The 23,131-nt window shown below is 44.4% G+C and overlaps 1 long non-coding RNA gene and 1 pseudogene across 9 annotated transcripts in view; both read right to left on the bottom strand.

Annotated features, from left to right (window-relative positions):
- LOC101929540 (uncharacterized) overlaps window positions 1-23,131 on the bottom strand; it is a 32,174-nt gene that overhangs the window by 7,314 nt on the left and 1,729 nt on the right. For 3 of the 9 annotated variants that reach the window (XR_007062117.1, XR_007062119.1, XR_007062118.1), the window contains exons 2-9: window positions 20,285-20,394; window positions 19,091-19,222; window positions 15,582-15,797; window positions 14,633-14,698; window positions 12,423-12,481; window positions 10,821-11,343; window positions 5,027-5,257; window positions 2,142-2,206 (exon numbers count right to left, since the gene is read on the bottom strand). This is a non-coding gene — a long non-coding RNA (uncharacterized LOC101929540). Of the gene's footprint in view, window positions 1-6; window positions 2,207-5,026; window positions 5,258-10,820; window positions 11,344-12,422; window positions 12,482-14,632; window positions 14,699-15,581; window positions 15,798-19,090; window positions 19,223-20,284; window positions 20,395-23,131 lie in introns of those variants that run through there. The other 6 variants (XR_007062122.1, XR_007062123.1, XR_007062120.1 and 3 more) reach the window with 5 other exon arrangements.
- On the bottom strand, window positions 4,297-4,400 carry RNU6-1118P (RNA, U6 small nuclear 1118, pseudogene; annotated as a pseudogene).

The raw sequence follows: 23,131 nt of genomic DNA, 5'->3' as shown, positions 1-23,131 counted from the left end.
AATCACTTGAGCCCTGGAGGTTGAGGCTTCAATGAGCTATGATTGCACCACTGCACACCAGCCTGGACAACAGAGCGAGGCCCTGTCTCTTAAAAAGAAAAGAAAAAAACCTGTTTTTCTAAGTTCCGTGAGTTGTTCTAGTAAATAATTAAACTCAAGAAGAGGGTCATGGGAAACCCTGATTTCTAACTGGTTGGTCAAAATACAGGTGACAACCTAGGACTTGCAACTGGCATCTGAAGTGAGGGTGGTCTTGTGGGACTGAGCCCCTAACCTGTGGGTTCTGCGCTAACTCTAGGTAGTGTCAGAATGGAATTGTGGGATACGCGGTTGGTATCCAGAGAGTTGGAGAACTGGTGTAGAAACTCTGCACACACATTTGGTCAGAAGCCTGTGAGTAGAGAAAAACGTGTTGCGGGAAGTCAGGGACCCCAAACGGAGGGACCGGCTGAAGCCACGGCAGAAGAACATAAATTGTGAAGATTTCATGGACATTTATTAGTTCCCCAAATTAATACTTCTATAATTTCTTAGGCCTGTCTTTACTGCAATCTCTGAACATAAATTGTGAAGATTTCATGGACACTTATCACTTCCCCAATCAATACCCTTGTGATTTCCTATGCCTGTCTTACTTTAATTTCTTAATCTGGTCATCTTCGTAAGCTGAGGATGAATGTCCCCGCAGGACTCTGTGATAATTGCGTTAACTGCACAAGTTGTTTAAACAATATGAAACCTGGGCACCTTGAATAAAGAACAGGATAACAGCAATTTCAGGGAACAAGGGAGATAACCTTAAACTTTGGCTGCCTGTGGGCCGAGTAGAACAGAGCCATATTTCTCTTCTTTCAAAAGCAAATAGGAGAAATATTGCTGAATTCTTTTTCTCAGCAAAGAACATCCCTGAGAAAGAGAATGCATCCCTAAGGGGAGGCCTCTGAAATGGCCGCTTTGGGGACGGCTGTCTTTTACAGTCGTAGATAAGGGATGAAATAAGCCCTGGGCTTGCGTGGCACTCCCAGGCTTATCAGGACAAGGAAATTCCCGCCTAATAAATTTTGGTCAGATGGGTTTTCTGCTCTCAAACCCTTTCTCCTAAGATGTTACCAATGACAATGCGTGCCCGAAACTTCATTAGCAATTTTAATTTCGCCCCGGTCCTGTGGTCCTGTGATCTTGCCCTGCCTCCATTTGCCTTGTGATATTTTATTACCTTGTGAAGCAAGTGATCTCTGTGACCCACACCCTATTCGTACACTCCCTCCCCTTTTGAAAATCACTAATAAAAACTTGTTGGTTTTGCAGCTTGCGGGGCATCACGGAACCTGCCGACATGTGATGTCTCCCCTGGACACCCAGCTTTAAAATTTCTCTCTTTTGTACTCTTTCCCTTTATTTCTCAGATCGGCCGACACTCAGGGAAAACAGAAAAGAACCTACATGAAATATCAGGGGTGAATTTCCCCCGATATCACACGGGCTCTTCTCTCACCTGTCTAACTGCTTAACTGCATAGGAGAGGCAATGCATGGTGCTCATGAACAAGGCAAGCATTAAAGTCAGACCAGACTAACATTTGATTCAGTCTTAATATTCAGGTGAGCTTGGGCAAATCACTCATTAACCCCAAGTCTTCATCATTTTGTGCATATAATGGGGATAACTGTGGCACCCACCTGTTTTTGTGAGAATCAATGAAATATTATGCTTGATGTTACTGTGATCATGATACTATCTGACAAGGGCAGTGATGCATGATAACATCAAAAAATTAGAAACTGTAATGAGGTCTCTTGGGCAAAATTCCATACAAGTAAATTACTGTCTCTACAAAGCATTTCTGCTACACTTAATTCACCATTCCCTGAACAAAATGTGCCATCTTCATTGTTCAGGTCTGTATAGTGCTGGTTTCCCTGCCTGGGCAGCTCACTCCATCCCATCCCAGCCCAATCCCCATCCCTCCACCTCCCCCTTCCCTCCCCACTCTCATACAATTCTTCCTTATCTTACAGGACTTGGCTTCAATGTCACCTTAACTGGAAGCTTCTCTCCCTCTCCAGAAGAGCTTCCCATTGCACTTGATGCATGCACTATTATTTGATCATTTTTGAGTTACAGTCCAAGTCTTTTTGTACCTGAATAACATGTTGCCCAGTCAGTTTCTCTTCCTGGATTCAGAAGTCTTTCATGGTAGGTCCAGCTAGAAGTGACAAAAAGACATTTAAAAAAAAAAAAAAAAGAGGGATGACACAGACAGACATCAGCACTTAAAAGTTTTAAACGATATGTGAAAAACAAAATTTAAGGGCTTCTAGGAGAAATGTAGGAGGGAAGGTGTTACTGGGAAATATGATAGAAGGTTAATTTTTATTTTATTTTTAGAGAAAGGGTCTTGCTCCATCACCTAAGCTGGACTGCAGTGGTGCAATCACAGTTAACTGCAACCTCAACCTCCAGGGCTTGAGCAATATTCCCATCTAATTTTTATTTTGTTTAAGAAATGCAGTCTTGCTCTTAGCAAAGCTAAAGTGCAATGGTGTGATCATAGCTTACTGCAGCCTCAACCTTCTAGACTCAAGTGATCCTCCAGTCTTAGCCTCCCCAGTAGCTGGGACTACAGGTGTGCACTGCAACGTGTAGCTCATTTTTTTTTTTAATTTTTAGTAGAGACAAAGTGTCACTATGTTGACCAGGTTGGTGGTGATCTCCTATACTCAGGCAGTTCTCTCACCTCAGCCTTCCAAAATGCTGGGATTACAGGTGTGAGCTGCCACACCTGGCTGAGGGGGTTAATTTTTAATTATATAAAGAGCTCAAAGCAAATATTAGAAGGAGCCTAAATGCCTCCAGCAGTTGACTGGTACTGGTAAATTGTGATACATCCATATAATAAAATATTATGCAACCATGAAAAGGATTAAGATAGATCAATTGGTATTGGCACAAATGTCCACGAAATATGAAAATATGAAGTGATGTTCAATCACCATGTACGTATCTTGAAGGATATGGCCCATTTTCTCAATTGCAATTATTTCCTGAGATAAGATTATGGGTCTAAAGAGTGAAGGACATTTTTCACTTATTTAAAAGTATTTATTATTTTTATAATTTAATAAAAGATTAAACAGATCATTGAATTAGTAAAAGACAAAGTAACTCTATAAATAAATGGAAAAGACACAGATACCCCAGGCATGGTGGCTCATGCTTATAATACCAGTACTTTGGGAGGGGGTGGTGGGGGGATTGCTTGAGGCCAGGAGTTCCAGACCAGCCTAAGAAACAAAGCAAGACCTCCTCTCTAGTAAAAATAAAAAAATAAAAATAATTGGCCAGGCATAGTGGCATGTGCCTATAGTCCCAACTACTGAGGTGGAAGGATCACCTGAGCCTAGGAGGTCAAGGCTGCAGTGAGTTGAGACTGTGCCACTACACTGAAGCCTAGGAGACAGAGCGATACTTCATCTCAAAAAAAAAAAAAAAAAAAAAAAGGACAATAAAGAAATAAAGCTAATAAGCTAACATAAGGAAAGATAAAATATGTGACAAATAGGCTGGGCACATGGCTCACAGCTGTAATCAAGCACTTTGGGAGGCCAAGGCGGGTAGATCACGAGGTCAGGAGTTCGAGACCAGCCTGATCAACATGGTGAAACCACATTTCTACTGAAAATACAAAAATTAGCCAGGCATGGTGGCATGTGCCTGTAATCCCAGCTACTCAGGAGGCTGAGGCAGGAGAATCACTTGAACCTGGGAGGCACAGGTTGCAGTGAACTGAGATCACACCACTGCACTCCAGCCTGGTCGACAGAGCGAGACTGCATCTCAAAAAAGAAAAAAGAATGGGTGACAAAGTAATAATATGAGGTCTTTCATTTATCACACAGAAAATAACTTGTTAAATTATAATACCTGTGTGGGCGAAGGTGCAGTGAAATGGCCATTTTCTTGTAGTATTAGTGGTGTTTAAAATGTATATAAGCCTTCCAGCATAAAGCTTGGAAATTTTTTTTAAATCATACAGACAGTGACTGCCTCCTCCAACTCCTGGCCTCAAGCAATCCTCCCACCTCAGCCTCCCAAAGTGCTGGAATTACAGGCTGACAGCCACCATGCCTGAAAGCTTTGCAATTTACATCAAGGGTAATAAGAATGTTCATGCCCTGTGACTCACAGTAATCTCACTTCTGGAAATTTCATCTTTGGATACAATTCAACCTAAACAAAAGGTCATATGCACAAACACAGTGAAAATCTGGGAGTAATTTTTTTCTCTTTTTTTAAAAAAATATGGAATGCTTCACAAATTTGCATGTCATTCTTTCACAGAGGCCGTGCCAATCTCTCTATTGTTCCAACTTAAGTATGTGTGCTACTGAGGCAAGCATGAGTAATTTAAAATAGAGTGGTTAAGTGAAATAAGGAAGAATTATGGAGAATTTAAAAATCTATGCTATTTATAGGCACCTAGTAACAGCTCAGTAAATATTAGCTGCTACTATTATTATTTTTATGGTAATTTCACTCAATTAAAAACTGTCATTAAAAATTACCATTGTCATGGAACATAATGTCTCCTACTGTATAATTGTAAAAACAGATACAATTTGTCCCTTGGTATATGGGGGGATTAGTTCCAGCTCTCCCATTTCTGTGTATACCAAAATCCACGCATACTCAAGTTTTCGAAGTCAGTCCCGTGGAATCCACATATAACACAAATGGGAAAATTAGTGAGGTGTGGTGACAAGCACCTGTAGTCCCAGCTACTTGTGAGGCTGAGGCAGGAGGATTGCTTGAGCCCAGGAGGTTGAGGCTGCAGTGAGCCATAATTGCACCACTGCACTCCAGTCTGGGCAACAGAGTGAGACAGAAGGTTGACTTTTTAATAGAATTTTTCTGTTCACTTGAAGATATGGTCAGGATTGTGGCATATGAAAATTCTTCATAAAATAACTAATCCAATTAATGCTGGAATTGGGAACAGCAGAAGTGTCATCTCAGAGCTACTCACAATGAAAGGTGATGTCTGGGGCTCAGGTGTGTTGAGATCCCCATGCCTGGACTATGGGTGCTGAGTGGGATTTACTTGTCCATCCATTTTCTATATTCCAGCACTGGGAAACTAGGGTTTATCCATCTTGATGTCATTTAAATTCCACTTCACAAGAACCACAAATGGAAGAAAGGCCATGAAACCGCAGGACAGTACTTGTTCTCAAGGGAATCTTCAGCTTAGGTGGCTCTGTAAAAGAGAAATTACATTGTTGAAAAATCGTCGCAGGTCAGGTGAGGTGGCTCATACCTATAATCCCAGCCCACGGGGAGACTAAGGCAGGAGGATTCCGTGAGGCCAGGAGTTCAAGACCAGCCTGAGCAACACAGTGAAACCTCATCTCTACAAAAAATTAGAAAATGAACTGGGTGCGGTAAAACATTCGTATAGTCCCAGCTCCTCTGGAGGCTGAAATATGAGGATCACTTGAGCCCAGGAAGTGGAAGCTGCAGTGAGCTCTGATCTCACCACTGCACTCCAGCCTGGGTGACAGAGTGAGACCCTGTCTCAAGACACACACACACACACACACACACACACACACACACACACAATCTCAGTCTGTCCAGCCTTGACTAATCAAAAGGGCCTTCTGGTTACAGAAGAGGTATACTCTTTTGTAGGACAGGGAGAGACCAGCAAGCTTGTTCATAGACTTTTCCTCATCCTCTGCTTAGTTTTCCAAGAACCCTCACAGTGGAAATGGAGTCTCTGGGAAAATGACCTAAATCTTTGGGTTACCAGGGGAAAAATATGCCTCCTTTGTCAATTAATAAATGGAACATCTGCCTTAAAATCCAGGGAGTTCTGCTAGAATGAATCACTCCCTAAGACCCTGACCTACGCATGGAACATGAAAAACTGAAGTTTAACTGGGTGCGGTGGATCACACCTGTAATCCCAGCACTTTGGGAGGCTGAGGCGGGCAGATCACCTGAGGTCAAAAGTTCTAGATCAGCCTGGCCAACATGGTGAAACCCCATCTCTACTAAAAATACAAAAATTAGTTGGGCATGGTAGTGGACACCTGTAATCCCAGCTACTCGGGAGGCTGAGGCAGGAAAATGGCTTGAACCCGGAAGGCAGAGGTTGCAGTTACTTCCAGAAGAATTTCCATTAGCCCTTTGGAATTCTTCAACATTCATAAAGGCCAAAGAGTTTTCACCTAATTTAATCTGATGGGTATGTGACCAGAGTCTTTCTAGGGAATAGAGACTCCCAAACAGTTCAACTGGGAAGTGAGGAGAGAATTTATTACTCAAAATCAAAGGGAAATGAAAAGAGGCCAACATAGAATGTCATTATTCTTTCTTGGCGGGGAATGGATTCCAGAGTCATTCTGTGACCTTTACATGACCTCCTTATTAGCATCTAAAAGCTTCCAGTGTAGGATGCAGCCAGCTAGGTTCTCTTCTAATGTAATAAAATTTGCTTCAGCAAATCTTATGCAGAGCCATCTCCAGGCTCCAGAAACAATAGGCTATAAATTACTGGATCTCCCATTTGATACAATGAAGTATAAGCACAGTCCTGAATGACTCCTCTACATACTACTCTGGGTGGCTTGAAGTGAATTTGATACAAGAACTGGAGCGAGTGCAAAGCATAGCTAGATCTAGGATTAATGTGCTTGGGCCCAGCTCCTCACTACTCACCTATGAGTCTAGTTCCAGAACCCAAGTAGAGGATGGGGAAACAAGGCTCCTGACTTTTTTTCCCTAATGTCTGCATCTCTTTCACATTTCTTATCTCCTTGCAAAGAAACTAAACAGGCTCAACTGAAATAACTAAATGATTAAATCCTATACAGAGAATCTCCAAAGACTGACAAAATATCATTCAAGACCGTTACACAGACAACCTTGAGGATGACTTGATGTACCAGTGATCTACAATATTTGGGATCATTCCAAATTCCCATCAAGGATCTGCCTATATCAACAAAGGAGCCAAGGACCAACCATTCAAATGGGCCCTGCTGCCAAGCCTTTTTTTTTTTTTACAATGCCATCTCTTCATATTGTTCCATTTAACAAAACTGCAGCCCTTCATCTATCCTTAAGCCCCTTGGCCAATGGTACAGAGCCAGAGTATGCTACTCCCTAGCAAGAAATCAACAGGATGACCTACTAAACACCATTCAGAAGATGCTAAGACCCATGAATTACAACAGGAAAGAAAAGACAGAGAATTAGTCAGATAGGTACATGCTGTGCCAAAAATGCACTACAGCCCCCACCCAATTCTGCCTAATCCTAGCTGGGCTGACACCAACCTGATGAGACAGGACTATAAGATCTCAAACTAAAACAGAAACTCCTGAACTGGATTCTTTCGAGCCCAGGAAGCAGCAGTAAATCATTAAAGAACAGATACGTTCTTAAGGTGAGGGACAGTTTCAGATAAATGGAATGCTGGTAGAACACAGGGCCCAAAGGAGCAAAAGTTAACGTAAGCCCAGGTAGAACCTTATTTACTAGAGTATTAGGCATGGGTTGGGGCAACTATTCTAACCTGAGAAACTGGCTTCAGTGAGGGCAAGTTGGCAATCCAAGGTATAGCATGCATAGGGCTGGCAAAATTCAGGGTGACTGAAGCAAAAGCTTCAGAACCAGAAAGACCACATCTGAGGGTAGAGCACAAAACTCTCAAGAGATGAATCTTTGTAAGAGTGAGGCAGAACTACATAGCAGTTTTAGGAGATCTGTTGGTGCCCAGCAAGAGCTCCAAACGGGCTATATGCAGGGATGCAGGCTGTAGTCTCAGGAGAGGAGGTTCACAAAAGTCATTCAGTCCAAGACCTCAAACTGTGTTCTCTACTAAAAGGAATCAAGGTTCCCTAGAGAAATGGCTGACTCCATGTATGGTGCAGTATATTGATCCTGGAACATCTTTTTTGCCAGAAAGCAAGGAAGCCATCAAAGTCCAACAGGATCCCGTCAAAAAGACATGAAAGTCAACTTGAAGAGATAATTATTAACCTAGATGAGACAATGAAAGCATCCAAAACAATAAAGACTGTAATGGCCTGAAATACATCAAATGCAAACAATAATCTATGAGTTCATAATGGTATTCAGAAAAAAAACTACTGGTCATTAGAGGGAAGGTTACTAGGTCACTAACTTACTACTCTGAAAAGTGACTTAAGATGAGAGGTAGGGTGGAGAATTAGCTATTTATTCAGTCTTTCCTGTACAAACATAAATTTTTAGGGAGATTGAAGCAGACAAAACAAATCTGGAAAAATGGAGGTAACTGCTTAATCTGCGGGTTGGGTGCATGGAGGTTCAACATATTTCTTTTGTGTATATTTGAACCCCCTACAAAAAAAGCACAAGACAGAATGTGAGCCAAGCAGCTTAGGGTTTAGGCAAGGCTTCTGCCTACAAGAGACACTAGGATATGAGGGGTAGTTTTAGCCCTGATGGGCTGAGCCAACTGGAGGTATATAGGGAGGTGCTAAATTGCAGAGGTATCATGTTGCCCAGCACTTGATCAAATCCTAGATCCTAGGTCTGCTTGGTAGCATGCTTCCTAGGTAGTGGATCTGAGGCTACCTATAGAACTTCCTTTGCAGTCATAATTCACTCAGAAACTACAAAAGTGCTTGCTCTTGAAAACGGAGTCTTTGTCCATTTCATGCTTCTATAAAAGAATACCACAGACTGCATAATTTATAAAAAGGAAAAAAGGAAGGAAAGAAAAAAGGAAGGAAGGAGGGAAGGAGGGAAAGACGGAAGGAGGGAAGGAAAGGAAGGAAGGGAAAGAAGGAAAGGAAGGAAGGGAAAGAGAGAAAGAGGGAAGGAGGAACGGAGGGAAGGAGGGAGGGAGGGAGGGAGAGAGAGAGGGAGGAAGGGGAAGGGAAGAAAAGGGAGAAGGGAAAGGAGGAAGAAAAGGAAAGGAAAGGAATAAATTTTATTTCTTAACAGTTCTGGATGTTAGGAAGTCCAAGGTTGAGGGGCCTGCATCTGGTAAGGGTCTTCTTGCTGCATCATCCCACTACAGAAGGCAGAAGGAAAAGAGAGTGCAAGAAAGCAAGAGGGCAAAAGGGGCTGAACTCTGTTTTATAATAAGCCCACTCTGTGATTACTAATCTATTACCACAATAACAACATTAACTCATTCATGAAGGCTATTTTATTAGGCCCCACATCCCAACTGTTGCATTGAGGATTGAGTTTCCAGCACATAAACTTTGGGGGACACATTTAAACCATAGCAGAGCACTTAGGTTAATTCAACTAAGAGGAGCTGGGAAAATCAAAGGCATGAGAAAGACAGCAAAAGCTAGCAGAGAGAAATGCATAGGTTAAGGAAAAAAGTCACAGTGAATCCTGTAGTGCAGGCTACTTTATCAAAAGCACCTAAAAAAGATCTCATTAACTCCCCCAGCTCACCTCCACCCACATCTAAAGAGCCACACACAGCACCACCAAAGGCAGCACAATGAGAACAGCATTCTCCTCAACAGACAAGCTGGGAGTATCTAGACACCTGACCTCTATAGCTCCAGAACAGCCCTAAAACAGTTCCTCCCTAAGCACCACTCAAGTCACCAGCTTGGAAAGTATTAAGAAAACCCAAATCCTGACACACCACTATGAAACAACTTAAAACAGCAAAGAACAACCCATTTAAACAGCAATGCCAGCTGCTGGGAAAAAATAGAACAATGAGTAGAGGAGAAACAGGCCTCTTGGGGTCCACCAAGACCCAGTCTCTCAGCTCCAGCACTTTCAAATGCAGAATCCATACCCCTCTGGGGCCTGTGGAGCTCCACAAGGCATGTCGTTCTCAAAGATAAATGAGCAGGCAAGCTGGCTAGAAAACCACTAAGGGTATTATTCTTTAAAGAATCTTTATAGGGTCAAAGAGGAATGGGTCTTAACTGGCTATGTGAACTCCCCACAGATTCTGAGGATGATGTCAGTATCCCTTTCCAGATGTGTTTAACACTTTGCAGTCACTTGTATTCCTGCCACTGAGTGCCAGTGCTTTGCTAATTTGCTCACGCTGACCCCAGCTCCCTGGATGTTACCATTAGCCAAGACTGTCACCCATACTGTACCCTTTCAAAGAGTCCTAAAAACAGCTCTTCACCTACTCTTCCAAGACAAGTAAAAATGTCTGCCAAAGAAATGGGGAAAAAAGATTCAGAGAGTGAAAACAATTAATATACTAAGAGAGCAAAAAGCAAAGGGGGAGGAGAAACTAGGAAAATCATATATGGGCTCACACCTATTTCCAAAGCTGGGCTAATGTCCTTTTGCCTGTGTCTGAATAAGGCACCAATTTTAAGCTGCTAATGAAAAAAAAAAGAAAAAGAGAAAGAAGCAGGCCCAGGCTGGGCGCAGTGGCTCATGCCTGTAATCCCAGCACTTTGGGAGGCCGAGGCGGGTGGATCACCCAAGGTCAGGAGTTCTAGACCAGCCTGGTCAACATGGTGAAACACCATCTCTACTAAAAATACAAAAAATTAGCCAGGCATGGTGGCACATGCCTGTAAATCCAGCTACTCAGGAGGCTGAGGCAGAATTGCTTGAACCTGGAAGGCAGAGAATGTGGTGACCTGAAATCACGCCATTGCCCTCAAGCCACGGCAATGAGAAAAAAATTCAGTAAAAACAAAACAAAACAAAACCACCATAAAATAACTCAGACTTAATTAAATACAACCCTAGTGGTGAATGACTAAAGATGGATTACTCATAACAGAGATAACAGTCCAATAAGAATCCAGGAATCTTACCTTTTAATAACAAAAAAATCCTTTCCTTCGAAAGTAACATCCTCTCAAGGCCAGGAATTCCATTAGTAGAAAGCCTTCCTAAAAAACAAAATTCCTGGCCAGGCATGGGTTCACATCTGTAATCTCAGCACTCTTGGAGGCCGAGGTGGGAAGATCACTTGATGTCAGGAGTCGAGGCGGGAAGATCACTTGACGTCAGGAGTTCGAGACTGGCCCGGCCAACATGGTGAAACCCCATCTCCACTAAAAATACAAAAATTAGCCTGGTGTGGTGGTGGGCACCTGTAATCCCAGCAACTTGGGAGGCTAAGGCAAGAGAATTTCTTGAACCCAGGAGGCAGAGGTTGCAGTGACCAGCAAGGTTGCGCCATTGCACCCCAGCCTGGGCGATAAGAGTGAAAACTCCATCTCAAAAAAAAAAAAAAAATTCCTTTGGGAAGGCCTTCTACATAAAAATCTTCAACATGAGACTGGACAAAAGGGTATGGGATCATCACTGGACCTTTGGCTTTTACAGCTCGAGCTATAAGAACAAAAAGAAAAAGGGATATCAATTAAACACAGTATGTAGAAAAGAATAATTATTGAATCTGTACTGGTCTTTAACTTTTACACTTTGATCTTTAATTCTGTTATTGTGATTGAGTCCAAAGAAAAATAGTATGAGTAAAATAAAAAGAACACCAAAAATGCTAATATTCTGTTTACCAAAGTCTGTAGTGAAATATTCCATTAAATCCAAGTGCAGTGACACACCCATAATCCCAGCACTTTGGGAGGCTGAGGCGGGTGAATCTCCTGAAGTCAGGAGTTCAAGGCCAGCCTGGCCAACATGGTGAAACCCCAACTCTACTACAAATACAAAAATTAGGCAGGCATGGTGGCAGAGGCCTGTAATCCCAGCTACTTAGGATGCTGAGGCAGGGAGAATTGCTTGAACCCAGGAGGTGAGCTTGCCATGAGCTGAGATCATACCACTGCACTCCAGCGGGGGCGACAGAACAAAACTTCAACCTCCAAAAAAAAAACAGCTAGCAGGTGACATTTGCTATGGGGAGACTAGGGATATGATCTTGCTGCAATCCTTCCATTTTAGTAAATCTAAACAGTGTGAATCCATTCTGTTTCGTCCCCACTCCACTCCAGAGCCAAAACAAGAAAATCAATTATATTTCTAGTTCTTTAAAAACATGTCTAACTAAATCATCTAATTAAAAGATAATATGCATGGTTCCATACTCTAAAAGAAAACTTATGTCCTGCATATCATGGACATTTGATGAATGCTTATTCAGTTGACTGGTGTAGACTTCAATAACAACCGGTTCAATGCATTATGCCGGATGAATCTTGCATCTCAAAAGTAGAACAAATATTGTTCTTTCAGTTTTGTCTACCCATAAATGCAATATTTACTAATAAAAAGAAAATAAGTTTATTGTTCTAGAGAGTATGAGAATTTTGACAACATGAATTCTCCTGTCCTAGGACATAATTAATACTTAGAGGCATACTATTTCATGTGGAAGCTACCATTAAATCAATGTTAAGTGTTAATTACCTCACATAATCTTCTAATCTGACTTAAGACTGAAGACTTACCTCACAAAGTTGATTTATCAAGTTGTAAATCTTTACCTGTTGAATTCATAAGTTCATGTCTGAAAGGTGAGAATAAATACTTAATATTCACTAGGCAATATTCAGCAAAGTAATATCCACTAGTACATATTTAATATTTCATCATGAACTGCGGGTGTGAAAAGACAGGCTGGGCACAGTGGCTCACACCTGTAATCCCAGCAGTTTGGGAGGCCGAGGCAGGCAGATCATGAGGTCAGGAGTTCGAGACCAGCCTGGCCAACATGGTAAAACCCCGTCTGTACTAAAAGTACAATAATTAGCTGGGCATGGTGGCAGGCACCTGTAATCCCAGCTACTCGGGAGGCTGAGGCAGGAGAATTGCCTGAACCCAGGAGGTGGAGGTTGCAGAAACCATGATCACGCCACTGCATTCCAGCCTGGGCAAGAGAGCAAGATTCTGTCTCAATCAATCAATCAATAAAAATATAAGGAGGAAGCATTTACTGTGTATTTATATGTCTGGAATTATGTGAAGCACTTTACTATCTTATCAAATCTTTGGGACAGATCTTCAGTTCTCATGACCACAAAAGAGGATACTAAAGCTCAGACAGGAGAAGAGACGTGGCCAGCCTGTGTCCCCAGGGCCTATGGTCTTACCACTAGGTTACAGTGTTTCCAGATATCACATGTTGTGAGATTTTTGCTTTAAAATGAACCAAAAAAAACGAAAGGCGAAAAAGGCATAAGCTATTAAAAAGTGGGAGAAACACTAAGAGAACCTTAAGCATGTAACTAAAAATATTATGGAAATGTTATTGAATTCATTAGCAAATTTAGTGCTAGGTTTTCATTGAGGAGTAGGTTATATTACTCATGATGAAGAAAAATGTTCATTTTAAGTATATTAACATAAATACCATCAATATTGTTTATCATGTTTAAATGTTCACTTAAAGCAATTCAGTTAAAATTCTGCATACCATACAATTTTATAGTTTGCTAGTAGGTTACAAGTAAATAGTCACCCAAATAAAAACATCATGTGTTTTCCACTGGTTGTTGCTCTTTTTAGGTGAGCATCTGATGTATACCAACAGAGAGAGGATAATAACAAATCGCTAATTTCTTTCATCACTATATAAAGGTGGCTTCAGGATAGAATAGTATCAGGGCAATGATGAATTTGAAATCTAACATCAATTCAGTGATGCATCAAGATAAAAGTAGAGACAATAGGGGCACCTTGGTGAGTACTGAACATTTTATTTATTTATTTATTTTGAGATGGAGTTTTGCTCTTTTTGCCCAGGCTAGAGTGCAATGGTGCAACCTCGGCTCACCACAACCTCTGCCTCCTGGGTTCAAGCAATTCTCCTGCCTTGGCCTCCCAAATAGCTGGGATTACAGACATGCACCACCACACCCGTCTAATTTTGTATTTTTAGTAGAGACGGGGTTTCTCCATGTTGGTCAGGCTGGTCTCGAACTCCCGACCTAGATATCTGCCTGCCTTGGCCTCCCAAAGTGCTGGGATTACAGGTGTGAGCCACTGCGCCCAGATGAATTCCAAATTTAACAAAGCAGACTAAGAGAAACAATTCATTTAAAAAAATAATATTTGGCCAGGCATGGCGGCTCACACCTGTAATCCCAGCACTGTGGGAGGCTGAGGTGAGTGGATCAGGAGGTCAGCAGTTCAAGACCAGCCTAGCCAAGATCATGAAACTCCGTCTCTACTAAAAATACAAAAATCAGCCAGGCGTGGTGGCTGGTGCCTGTAATCCTAGCTGCTTGGGAGGCTGAGGCAGAGAACTGCTTGAACCCAGGAGGCGGAGGTTGCAGTGAGCCGAGATCGTGCCACTGCACTCCAGCCTGGGCGACAGAGTGAGGCTCCGTCTCAAAAAAAATAAATAAATAATTCAATGAAATCCCTAAGATCCAGGGCTTTGCAATAAATATGTAAATAAATTTCCAATCTCCATACTGAAAGTTTAAAAGAAATGCTAACTAATAACTAAAGAAATATAACTTTTCCTCAGCTTTGCAGCAATCTAGAAACAAAGTGTGTAGACACTACAAAGCACCTTACAAGGAGAAACGTGTAAGGATAGCATGACTCGCCGGCAGCCCTGGGCTTGTCCACGGTACCCCCATGATGAACAGTAACTCCATTGTGTAAACGCCCATGAACATAAGATTACAGGACTTTTCCAGTTTAGACATACCATATTTTCTTTCAGACAATTCTTCAATTTGTTTACGCAGATCAGCGATACGATGATTCCATTTCTCTGAAAATCAAGCAAAAGTTGCTTCTCAATAATACGTCCCTATGTCAGAGCAGCACTAACGTATAATGAATTATTTCATATATTTTACATTCTAACAGTCCATATCATTTTACTGCTTTCAAGAAAAAATTTCCCCTTTTTGGTGGTTCTTAGAATTGGTTTAATGGGAGACTATTAGAGAAGCTGAAAAGCAGGAGGGCAGAAAAGTTCAATCAAATTAAACACAATAACAGGGAGGTCACAATGAGGCGGTCTCCAGGGGTCTTTTAGCAAACTTCCTAAAACATGTCTCAGCTGTGTGAAATAAGACTTTACAGCAGCCGGGTGCAGTGGTGCAGGCCTGTAATCCCAGCACTTCGGCAGCAGAGGCAGGTGGATCGCTTTTAGCTCAGGGCAACATAGCCAAAACCCCCCTCCCTAGCCCCACCCCCACCCCTTCCCTACCAAAAATACAAAACAGCAGGGCATGGTGGCGGGCGCCTGTAGTCCCAGCTACTCAGGAGGCTGAGGCAGGAGAATCACCTGAACCCAGGAGGCAGACATTGCAGTGAACCAAGATCACGCCACTGCCAGCCTGGATGACAGAGCAAGACTCCACCTCAAAAAAACAAAAACAAAAACACAAGGTTAAGAGGGACCCCCGACCTTACAGATACAAGTTTAAGAAGGATCCCTAAGCAAAAAATGCCAACCCTTTTTCTCCCAATCATTGAAACACCAGGAGGGTGTAACAGTTTTGCAGCCTAGCTGTAGCAGGCTGATGCCCCCAAGATGCCCATATCCTAATCCCGGGAACTGGTGAACATGACTTTATATGGCAAAAGGGGCTTTGCAGATATAATGAAGTTAAAGGGTCTTTGGCTTTTGCGGTTGATGTACTCACTCGGATCCTTATAAGAGCAGAGCAGGTGATGGAGAGGGTGGGAGGTGTAGTGACAGAAGCAGGAAACTCCAGTCATTCGAGACGGGCAGCACAAGCTGAGGAGTGCAGGCCACCTCTACGGCCAGGAAACGGATTCTCCCGCAGAGCCTCGGAAGCCACCGACCCTGCTCCCACCTTGACTCAGTAGGACTTACTGTAGAATTCTGGCCTTCAGACCTGTAAAGGAATACATTTTGGTTGTTTTAAGTCACTAAGTGTGTGGTAATTTGTTGCAGCAGCCACAGGAAACTAGTATTGTAGTGAAGCCTCAAAACACCCCTGAAGGGGCTGGGCTCAGTGGCTCATGCCTGTAATCCCAGCACTTTGGGAGGCCGAGGTGGGTGGATCACTTGAGGTCAGCAGTTCGAGACCAGCCCAGCCAACATGGTGAAATGCCATCTATACAAAAAATACAAAAACTAGCCGGGCATGGTGGCACATGCCTGTAATCTCAGCTACTCAGGAGGCTGAGACAGGAGAATTGTTTGAACCCAGGGGGGCGGAGGTTGCAGTGAACTGAGATTCCACCACTGCACTCCAGCCTGGGTGACAGAGCAACGCTCCATCTCGAAAACAAAACAAAACAAAAAAACCCCATCTGAAGCTTTCCAGTTCTGCCAGCAGTCTCCCACCCAACCCCCAGAAGCAGACATTCCATTGCTGTGGGCCATGGACAGGCAGAAGGAAGCACCTCCTCATGGCAGAGGCCTACACAGGAGAAACCCAAGGGAAGGCACTGCTGGGCTGGCCCCTCTCTGCCAAGGCCATATTCTTTCTTTTTTTTGAGGCCAGTTTCACTGTGTCTCCCAGACTGGAGTGCAGGGGCACAATCTCGGCTCACTTCGACCTCTGCCTCCCCAGTTCAAGTGATTCTCCTGCCTCAGTCTCCTGGGTAGCTGGGATTACAGGAGTGTAGCATGCCTAGCTAATTTTTCTATTTCTAGTAGAGACGGGGTTTTGCCATGTTGCCCAGGGTGGACTCGAACTCCTTGCCTCAAGTAGTCCACCTGTCTCAGCCCCGCAAAGTGCTGGGATTACAGGAGTGAGCCACTGCACCCAGCATTTGCCAAGACCTTTGATGGTAGGCTTTTTCCAGGTGATCAGTCCTTGTTTGGTGTGGCTCTGCCCCACTCTCCTTCTCACCTAGTTGGAATCCCTAGCTACTTTTCAGTAGAGGAGAGTGTGTACCCCAATCCCAGCTTGGTTCAGATCTGCATTTAACTCATGGAACCTGGCTGCTCCCCAGGTCCTGAAGAAAAAAAGGGTCTCTCTGTGGGTATGATAAAGGATGGGCCTGTCCCCAGGACCCTGTGAGAGGGAAGCCCAATGTCCCACCAGGTTGGCAGGGCTGGGGAAGGGAAAGTGTTATGGCAGCCCCAAGAAAAAAAAGAGGCAGCAGAGGGAGCAGGACAGCGCTCCCATGGAACTCATGCCACTGCCTGAGTGACGGGAGGGAGGAGTGCACGCCAGTGACATCAGGGGGCAGAGAGGCGCAGTTCCAGGGCGGCTTTCCCCCTCACTTCCTGCCATGTTACTCTGCTCGCCTCCAGGTGAGCCTGCCCACTTTGTGCCCAGGGGCCTGTAGAAAACCACAGCTCCCCATGGTTATGGCCCCAGGAGTGGGGCAGAGCAGGGAGGAGTCCTGGACAGAGGAGAGGCAGGGGCAGGAGGGAGTGGGCCTCAAACTCCAGGAGGGGGCCCTTCTCATGGGTCCTGCTTTCTGGCTTCTCCTTCCTTACCCCTGGGCTGATCACTCGGGGAAGAACTCAGACAAAGTTTCTCACCCTCAGGCCCAAAGGGTTTAATTACTGGGCCCTTAGGGAGGTGTGAGCCCCCTGAAAGGATGCAAGGTTTTGTTTTGTTTTGTTTTTTGAGACAGAGTTTCGCTCCTGTCGCCCGGGCTGGAGTGCAGTGGCGTGATCTCACCACACTACAGCCTGCGCCTCCCAGGTTCAAGTGATTCTCCTGCCTCAGCCTCCAGAGTAGCTGGGATTACAGGTGGCTGCCACCACGCCTGGCTAATTTTTTGTATTTTTAGTAGAGACAGGGTTTCGCCATGTTGGGCAGGCTGGTCTTGAACTCCTGACCTCAGGTGATCCGACTGGCTCCGCCTCCCAAAGTTCTGGGATTACATGAGCCACTGTGCTTGGCCACGATGAAAGGTTTTGTGTGGAGAGCATGTACATGCCTTTCTGGGAAAACAGTCCACAGCTCTTATTCTCAGCAGGCTTCACGGTCAAAAAAGGTTAGAACTCTTGCTACAGAGCTGTGGAAGCAGCTAGGTGAGGGGCCTGCCAAGGGCACTCTGGGCACTACCTGGGCACTCTCGAGCCCATCATCCCCTAGGCAGGCTGCACTGCTTGGTATTTGCAGAGCTGAGGGGGTGGGGCATGTGGGGACTGTGAAATCGCCCTGAGATGACCCACAGTCCTCAGCTGGGAAGTGAGCGGCGCATCTCCTGCAGCGTCCTCCATCCCTAGAGCCATGGGGCCAGGAGAACTGGCCCTTGCAGCAAGTGAAAAGCCTATTATTGACTCCCTCCCTAGCCATGTAGACAGTGAACCAAGACACTCATATCAGGTAAATGCCTTGTTCTCTGTTACCGAGGTAACCAGTAGGCATTCCCAGATACAGTGAAGGTCCTCACACAAGATATGCACCTGGCCACCTGAGGAAAGAGAAAGGACTATCTGAGGGGAGGGGCTGAGCTGGGTGTGGAGTGGTCCTTGTGGGTCTTGGAGAGTGGGAGGGGGAGCAGCATGAGCCAGGCCTCGAGGCAGAAGGACAACCAGGAGACAGCCTGGAAAAAGTGCTGGACCCACAAGGGCTCAAGGCTGGCCAGAGGGGAGGTGGGATAGGCTGCAAAGTCCTGAAGTCTGAAGATTGGCCCTGGCAGGAAGAAACCAGGTAAGGTGGGGTGTTACCTACACCCTCAGGGCCAGATGGAGGCCAGAGCCAGCCAATTACCAGGCCCTTAGGGAGATGTGAGCCCCTGGAAATGATACAAGGTTTTTTGTTTTTGTTTTGGAGACGGAGTTTCGCTCTTGTCGCACAGGCTGGCAACTTTGCCCAGAGCAGGCACCAAGACTTCTGGCTCTGGGTGTGACCTCAGTCTGAGTAAAAGCCCCAGCCCCCACCAGGACTACCTACCCCCTACAATACTTCAGGTGCTGAGCCCAAGCCAGGGGCAGGAAGCTAAACTGATGCCTAGGGTAATCCCAACAAAGTCCCTGGTTCCCTGCAGCTATGGGGCTGACGGGGAATTATAGCCCAAATCCCAGATGCTGGCTCTCAAACTAACACTGAGCCCTCAGTGCCCACAGGGAGATACAATCAGCGCACTTTCCAGATGGGGAAATGGGATCAGAGAAGTGCAACAGCCTTGCCCAATGCCCCAGACCAGGGCTCCAGGCCCAGAGTGTTCTTTTGTCACTGTGTTCAGAGGGCAGCAGCTGCTGTGATGTACCCACCTGAGCCTGGCAGCTTTCTCCAACTTTGGAAGCCCAGGAGCATGGCCCCTGTCCACAGATGCACCTGGCATGAGGCGTGCCCAGAGGGACAGAGGCAGATGAGTTTCGTCTCCTCCACTGGATTGTGAGGGCCTAGAAGGAGACAAGGGTCTGCTTGAGAAGGCAGTGAACAGCGAGCAACCTGAGGCAGTGCCCCTCTGGATGGATCCGCAGTGCCTGGATGGAACCTGGCTCAGACAGAGCTCAGTTCTGCAGGTCCCTGAGGCATGGAGAGTTCACAGCTACCAAGTGTAGGAGTCTGGATTCAAAGCCAACGGCGTGACTCCAAAGTCCCTGCCCTAGCCCCTGGACCACCCTTGCAGGCCCATCAGATGCCCAGGCCAGCAGCACAGCCGGCCAAGACCAGGGAAACTTGGGGAGCCTCAGAGCACCCCCAGGTATTCCAACCTAATCCTGGTACCCCGCCTCTCACCACCCTTCTTCCTGCTTTAACCTCAACCCCTACACAAAGCCTGGGCCACTTAATGTGGCATCAAACAGATGCCTCAATAAATCAGTCTAATCTTGAAAAAAAAAAAGACTTAACAGATATACAATTGCACGTTAGAATGCTAAAGACCATAAACACATAACAACTTAAAGTACATATAAATTCAATATATATCCAATCATTGTAACTATGACACAGTAGAATATTAAAATACTATTTTCAAAATGTATACAAGCTTAATGTTCTATGTATTCAAACTATTTATTCAAAATACAAATCATCAACATAGATTGCCACTAATATTCAGTCCCTTCACAGGACACATGATTCACTGGGAGTTAATAAATTAGCAGCCGGCAGGCAGTGACACACAGCAAAAATGAAAACCAAGAGGTGAAATAGTTCTGAAACAAAGGTTTTAAAGCTGACAGAAATCACTGAATTACTAAGTCATTAGCACTAATTTTGAGCCAACTAATTAATATGAGATGATACAATGTCCTATACTTTGGTAAATACAGACTATGTTTAAACAATGTCTGTAACGTGACTTGTAAAATGCTCCCGGCTTTACAAAGATGTGATTAAGATGTAGTAACACATGCTAAACCATTTCCCCCTGCAGAGCCTGTGATAACTTTCATCAGTCACACTGAGAGTCCAGAAGATAAAGGAAAAGGTCATGGATTTCGCTGAGACCTTACCAGAGTTGAACTCCCTCATTTTCCATTCCCCAGCATTGGCGGGTTCTGGGACTGGTGGCTGTGGTGGATCGTTGGTCTTTGTCTCTTAGAAGGTGGGGAATAATCATCATCTTGAAAAAGAAAAAATGGTCATTACTGAAGGAACCATCTTAGGTTACAGCCACCTCTGGGTCAATTCCCAACATTCAAAAGCTGAGCAGGGCTTTAAAGCTATCTTATTAATAATTATTTCTGTATTGCGAACTTCAGCATACTTTTTTCTAGTTACATTTGAAATGTTATTCTTTTGGGATGTACTCAAGTGAATACTGCTTTTTCCTCTGCCTTGCTTCATTACTTTTTAGTTTCCTTCATTTGAATCATCATTGTAAGTCTCCCCTTCTCCTCAAATAACTTTCAAATTGCTGCCAAGAACTATGTTCTATCTTAAGGCTTTTGAGAAAAAACTTTCAATGAAGATAGCCGCCTAAAGTTATACAAATATAGAAGAAACGGGATAAAATAAAGCTTAGATTGGAAAAAATATTTAAGATTATACAAAATTCACACGTAAACAAGGGAAGCTGAGTAATTGTATGTTCAAATACTTTTAACAAGTGCAAAACATGTAGGCTTAAAGAAATAGAGCTGGCCAGGCATGGTGGTTCACGCCTGTAATTCCAACAGTTTGGGAGGCTGAGGCAGGCAGATAACTTGAGGTCAGGAATTCGAGACCAGCCTGGCCAACAGAGTGAAACCCTCTCTCTACTAAAAATACAAAAATTAGGCCAGGAGTGATGGCTCATGCCTGTGATCCCAGCACTTTGAGAGGCCGAGGCGGGTAGATCACCTGAGGTCAGGAGTTTGAGACCAGCCTAACCAACATAGAGAAACCCCATCTCTACTAAAACTACAACATTAGCTGGGTGTGGTGGCACATGTCTGTAATCCCAGCTACTCGGGAGGCTGAGGCAGGAGAATCCCTTGAACCTGAAAGGCAAAGATTGTGGTGAGCCGAGATTGTGCCATTGCACTCCAGCCTGGGCAACAACCGCGAAACTCCATCTCAAAAAAAAAAAAAAGAAAAAATTAGCCAGGCATGGTGGCGCATGCCTGTAATCCCAGCTACTTGGGAGGCTGAGGCAGGAGAATCGCTTGAACCCAGGAGGCTGAAGTTGCGGTGAGCTGAGACTGCACCATTGCACTCCAGCGTGGGTAGCAGAGCAAGACCCTGTCTCAAAAAAAAAAAAAAGAGAGAGAGAAAGAAAGAAAGAGGGCTACATTATTTATGAAACAGATACTGTTAACTCAGTCACCAGAAAGCCTGTGTATAAATGAGCAGTGAGATATTCAAGCACAGCACACACACACTTCTCAGGACAGCTGTCATGAGAGTTCCATGCTCGTTTCCTTCTGGATACATCAGCAACTCACTCTGCTATGATCCTGCAATACATCTCATGTTAGAAATAGAGACATCTGGGCCAGGCACAGTGGCTGACGCCTGTAATCCTAACACTTTGGGAAGCCGAGGCAGGCAGATCACCTAAGGTCAGGAGTTCGAGACCAGCCTGGCCAACATGGTGAAATGCTGTCTCTACCAAAAATACAAAAAATTAGCTGGGCAGGGTGGTGCGCACCTGTAATCCCAGCTACTCGGGAGCCTGAGGCAGGAGAATTGCTTGAACCCAGGAGGTGGAGGTTGCAGTGAGCCGAGATCGTGCCACTGCACTCCAGCATGGGGGACGGAGCAAGGCTCTGTCAAAAAAAAAAACAACAACAGAAAAAGAAAAAGAAAAAGAAAAAGAAAAAAGAATTAGAGACATCTGGATGAAATCAGCTGCCAGTCTCGCAAAGTGTCGGGTAACATCCTATTAAGATTGCTGCTTACACATCATCTATAAAATACTGAAAATATCATTTTAAGAAATTTTTTTTTTATTTTGAGACAGAGTTTTGCTCGTTGCCCAGGCTGGAGTGCAATGGTGCGATCTCAGCTCACTGCAACCTCTGCCCCCCGGGTTCAAGCAATTCTCCTTCCTCAGCCTCCTGAGTAGCTGGGATTACAGGCATGCACCACCACGCCTGGCTAATTTTGTATTTTCAGTTGAGACAGGGTTTCTCCATATTGGTCAGGCTGGTCTCGAACTCCTGACCTCAGGTGATCCACTGACCTTGGCCTCCCAAAGTGCTGGGATTACAGGTGTGAGCCACCATGCCTAGCCAAGAAACCCTTATTTTAAAACAAGCCAGGCGCAGTGGCTCATGCCTATAATCCCAGCACTTTGGGAAGCCAAGGCGGGTGGATCACTTGACGTCAGTAGTTTGAGACCAGCCTGGGCAACATGTTGTAACCCCATCTCTACTAAAAATATATTTAAAAAATTAGCTGGGCGTGGTGGTGGGCACCTGTAATCCCAGCTTCTCAGGAGGCTGAGGCAGGAGAATCACTTGAACCTGGGAGGTGGAGGTTGCAGTGAGCGGAGATCACGCCACTGCACTCTAGCCTGGGTGACAACAGAAAGACTCCATCTCAAAAACAAAACAAAACAAAACAAAAAACCACTAAAAAAAAGACTCCATTTCAAAAACAAAACTAAAACCAAAAACACAACACAAATGTAGTACACAAATGAAAATAATTACTGTGTTAAACACAGTTTCATAGAAAATAAAAGACCAATCAAATACAATAAGCTGCCTTTTTAGATGGGTATGTTATTCTTCTTTCACAGCTAAAGAAACGGGCTCAGAGAATGTTATTTGATTGGACCGTGTTGCATCTCTGGACAGTGCAGCTGAGATCAGACTTTGTGGGTAACTCCACTAGCCTACCAGGGTGCCTCTCATAAAGGTAAGAAATGTAAA

The sequence above is a fragment of the Homo sapiens genome, chromosome 10, assembly GCF_000001405.40.
Source record: "Homo sapiens chromosome 10, GRCh38.p14 Primary Assembly".
Classification (NCBI taxonomy): domain Eukaryota; kingdom Metazoa; phylum Chordata; class Mammalia; order Primates; family Hominidae; genus Homo; species Homo sapiens.
Note: the sequence above shows the minus strand (reverse complement) of the source record. Positions and strands in the feature narration are given on the sequence as shown.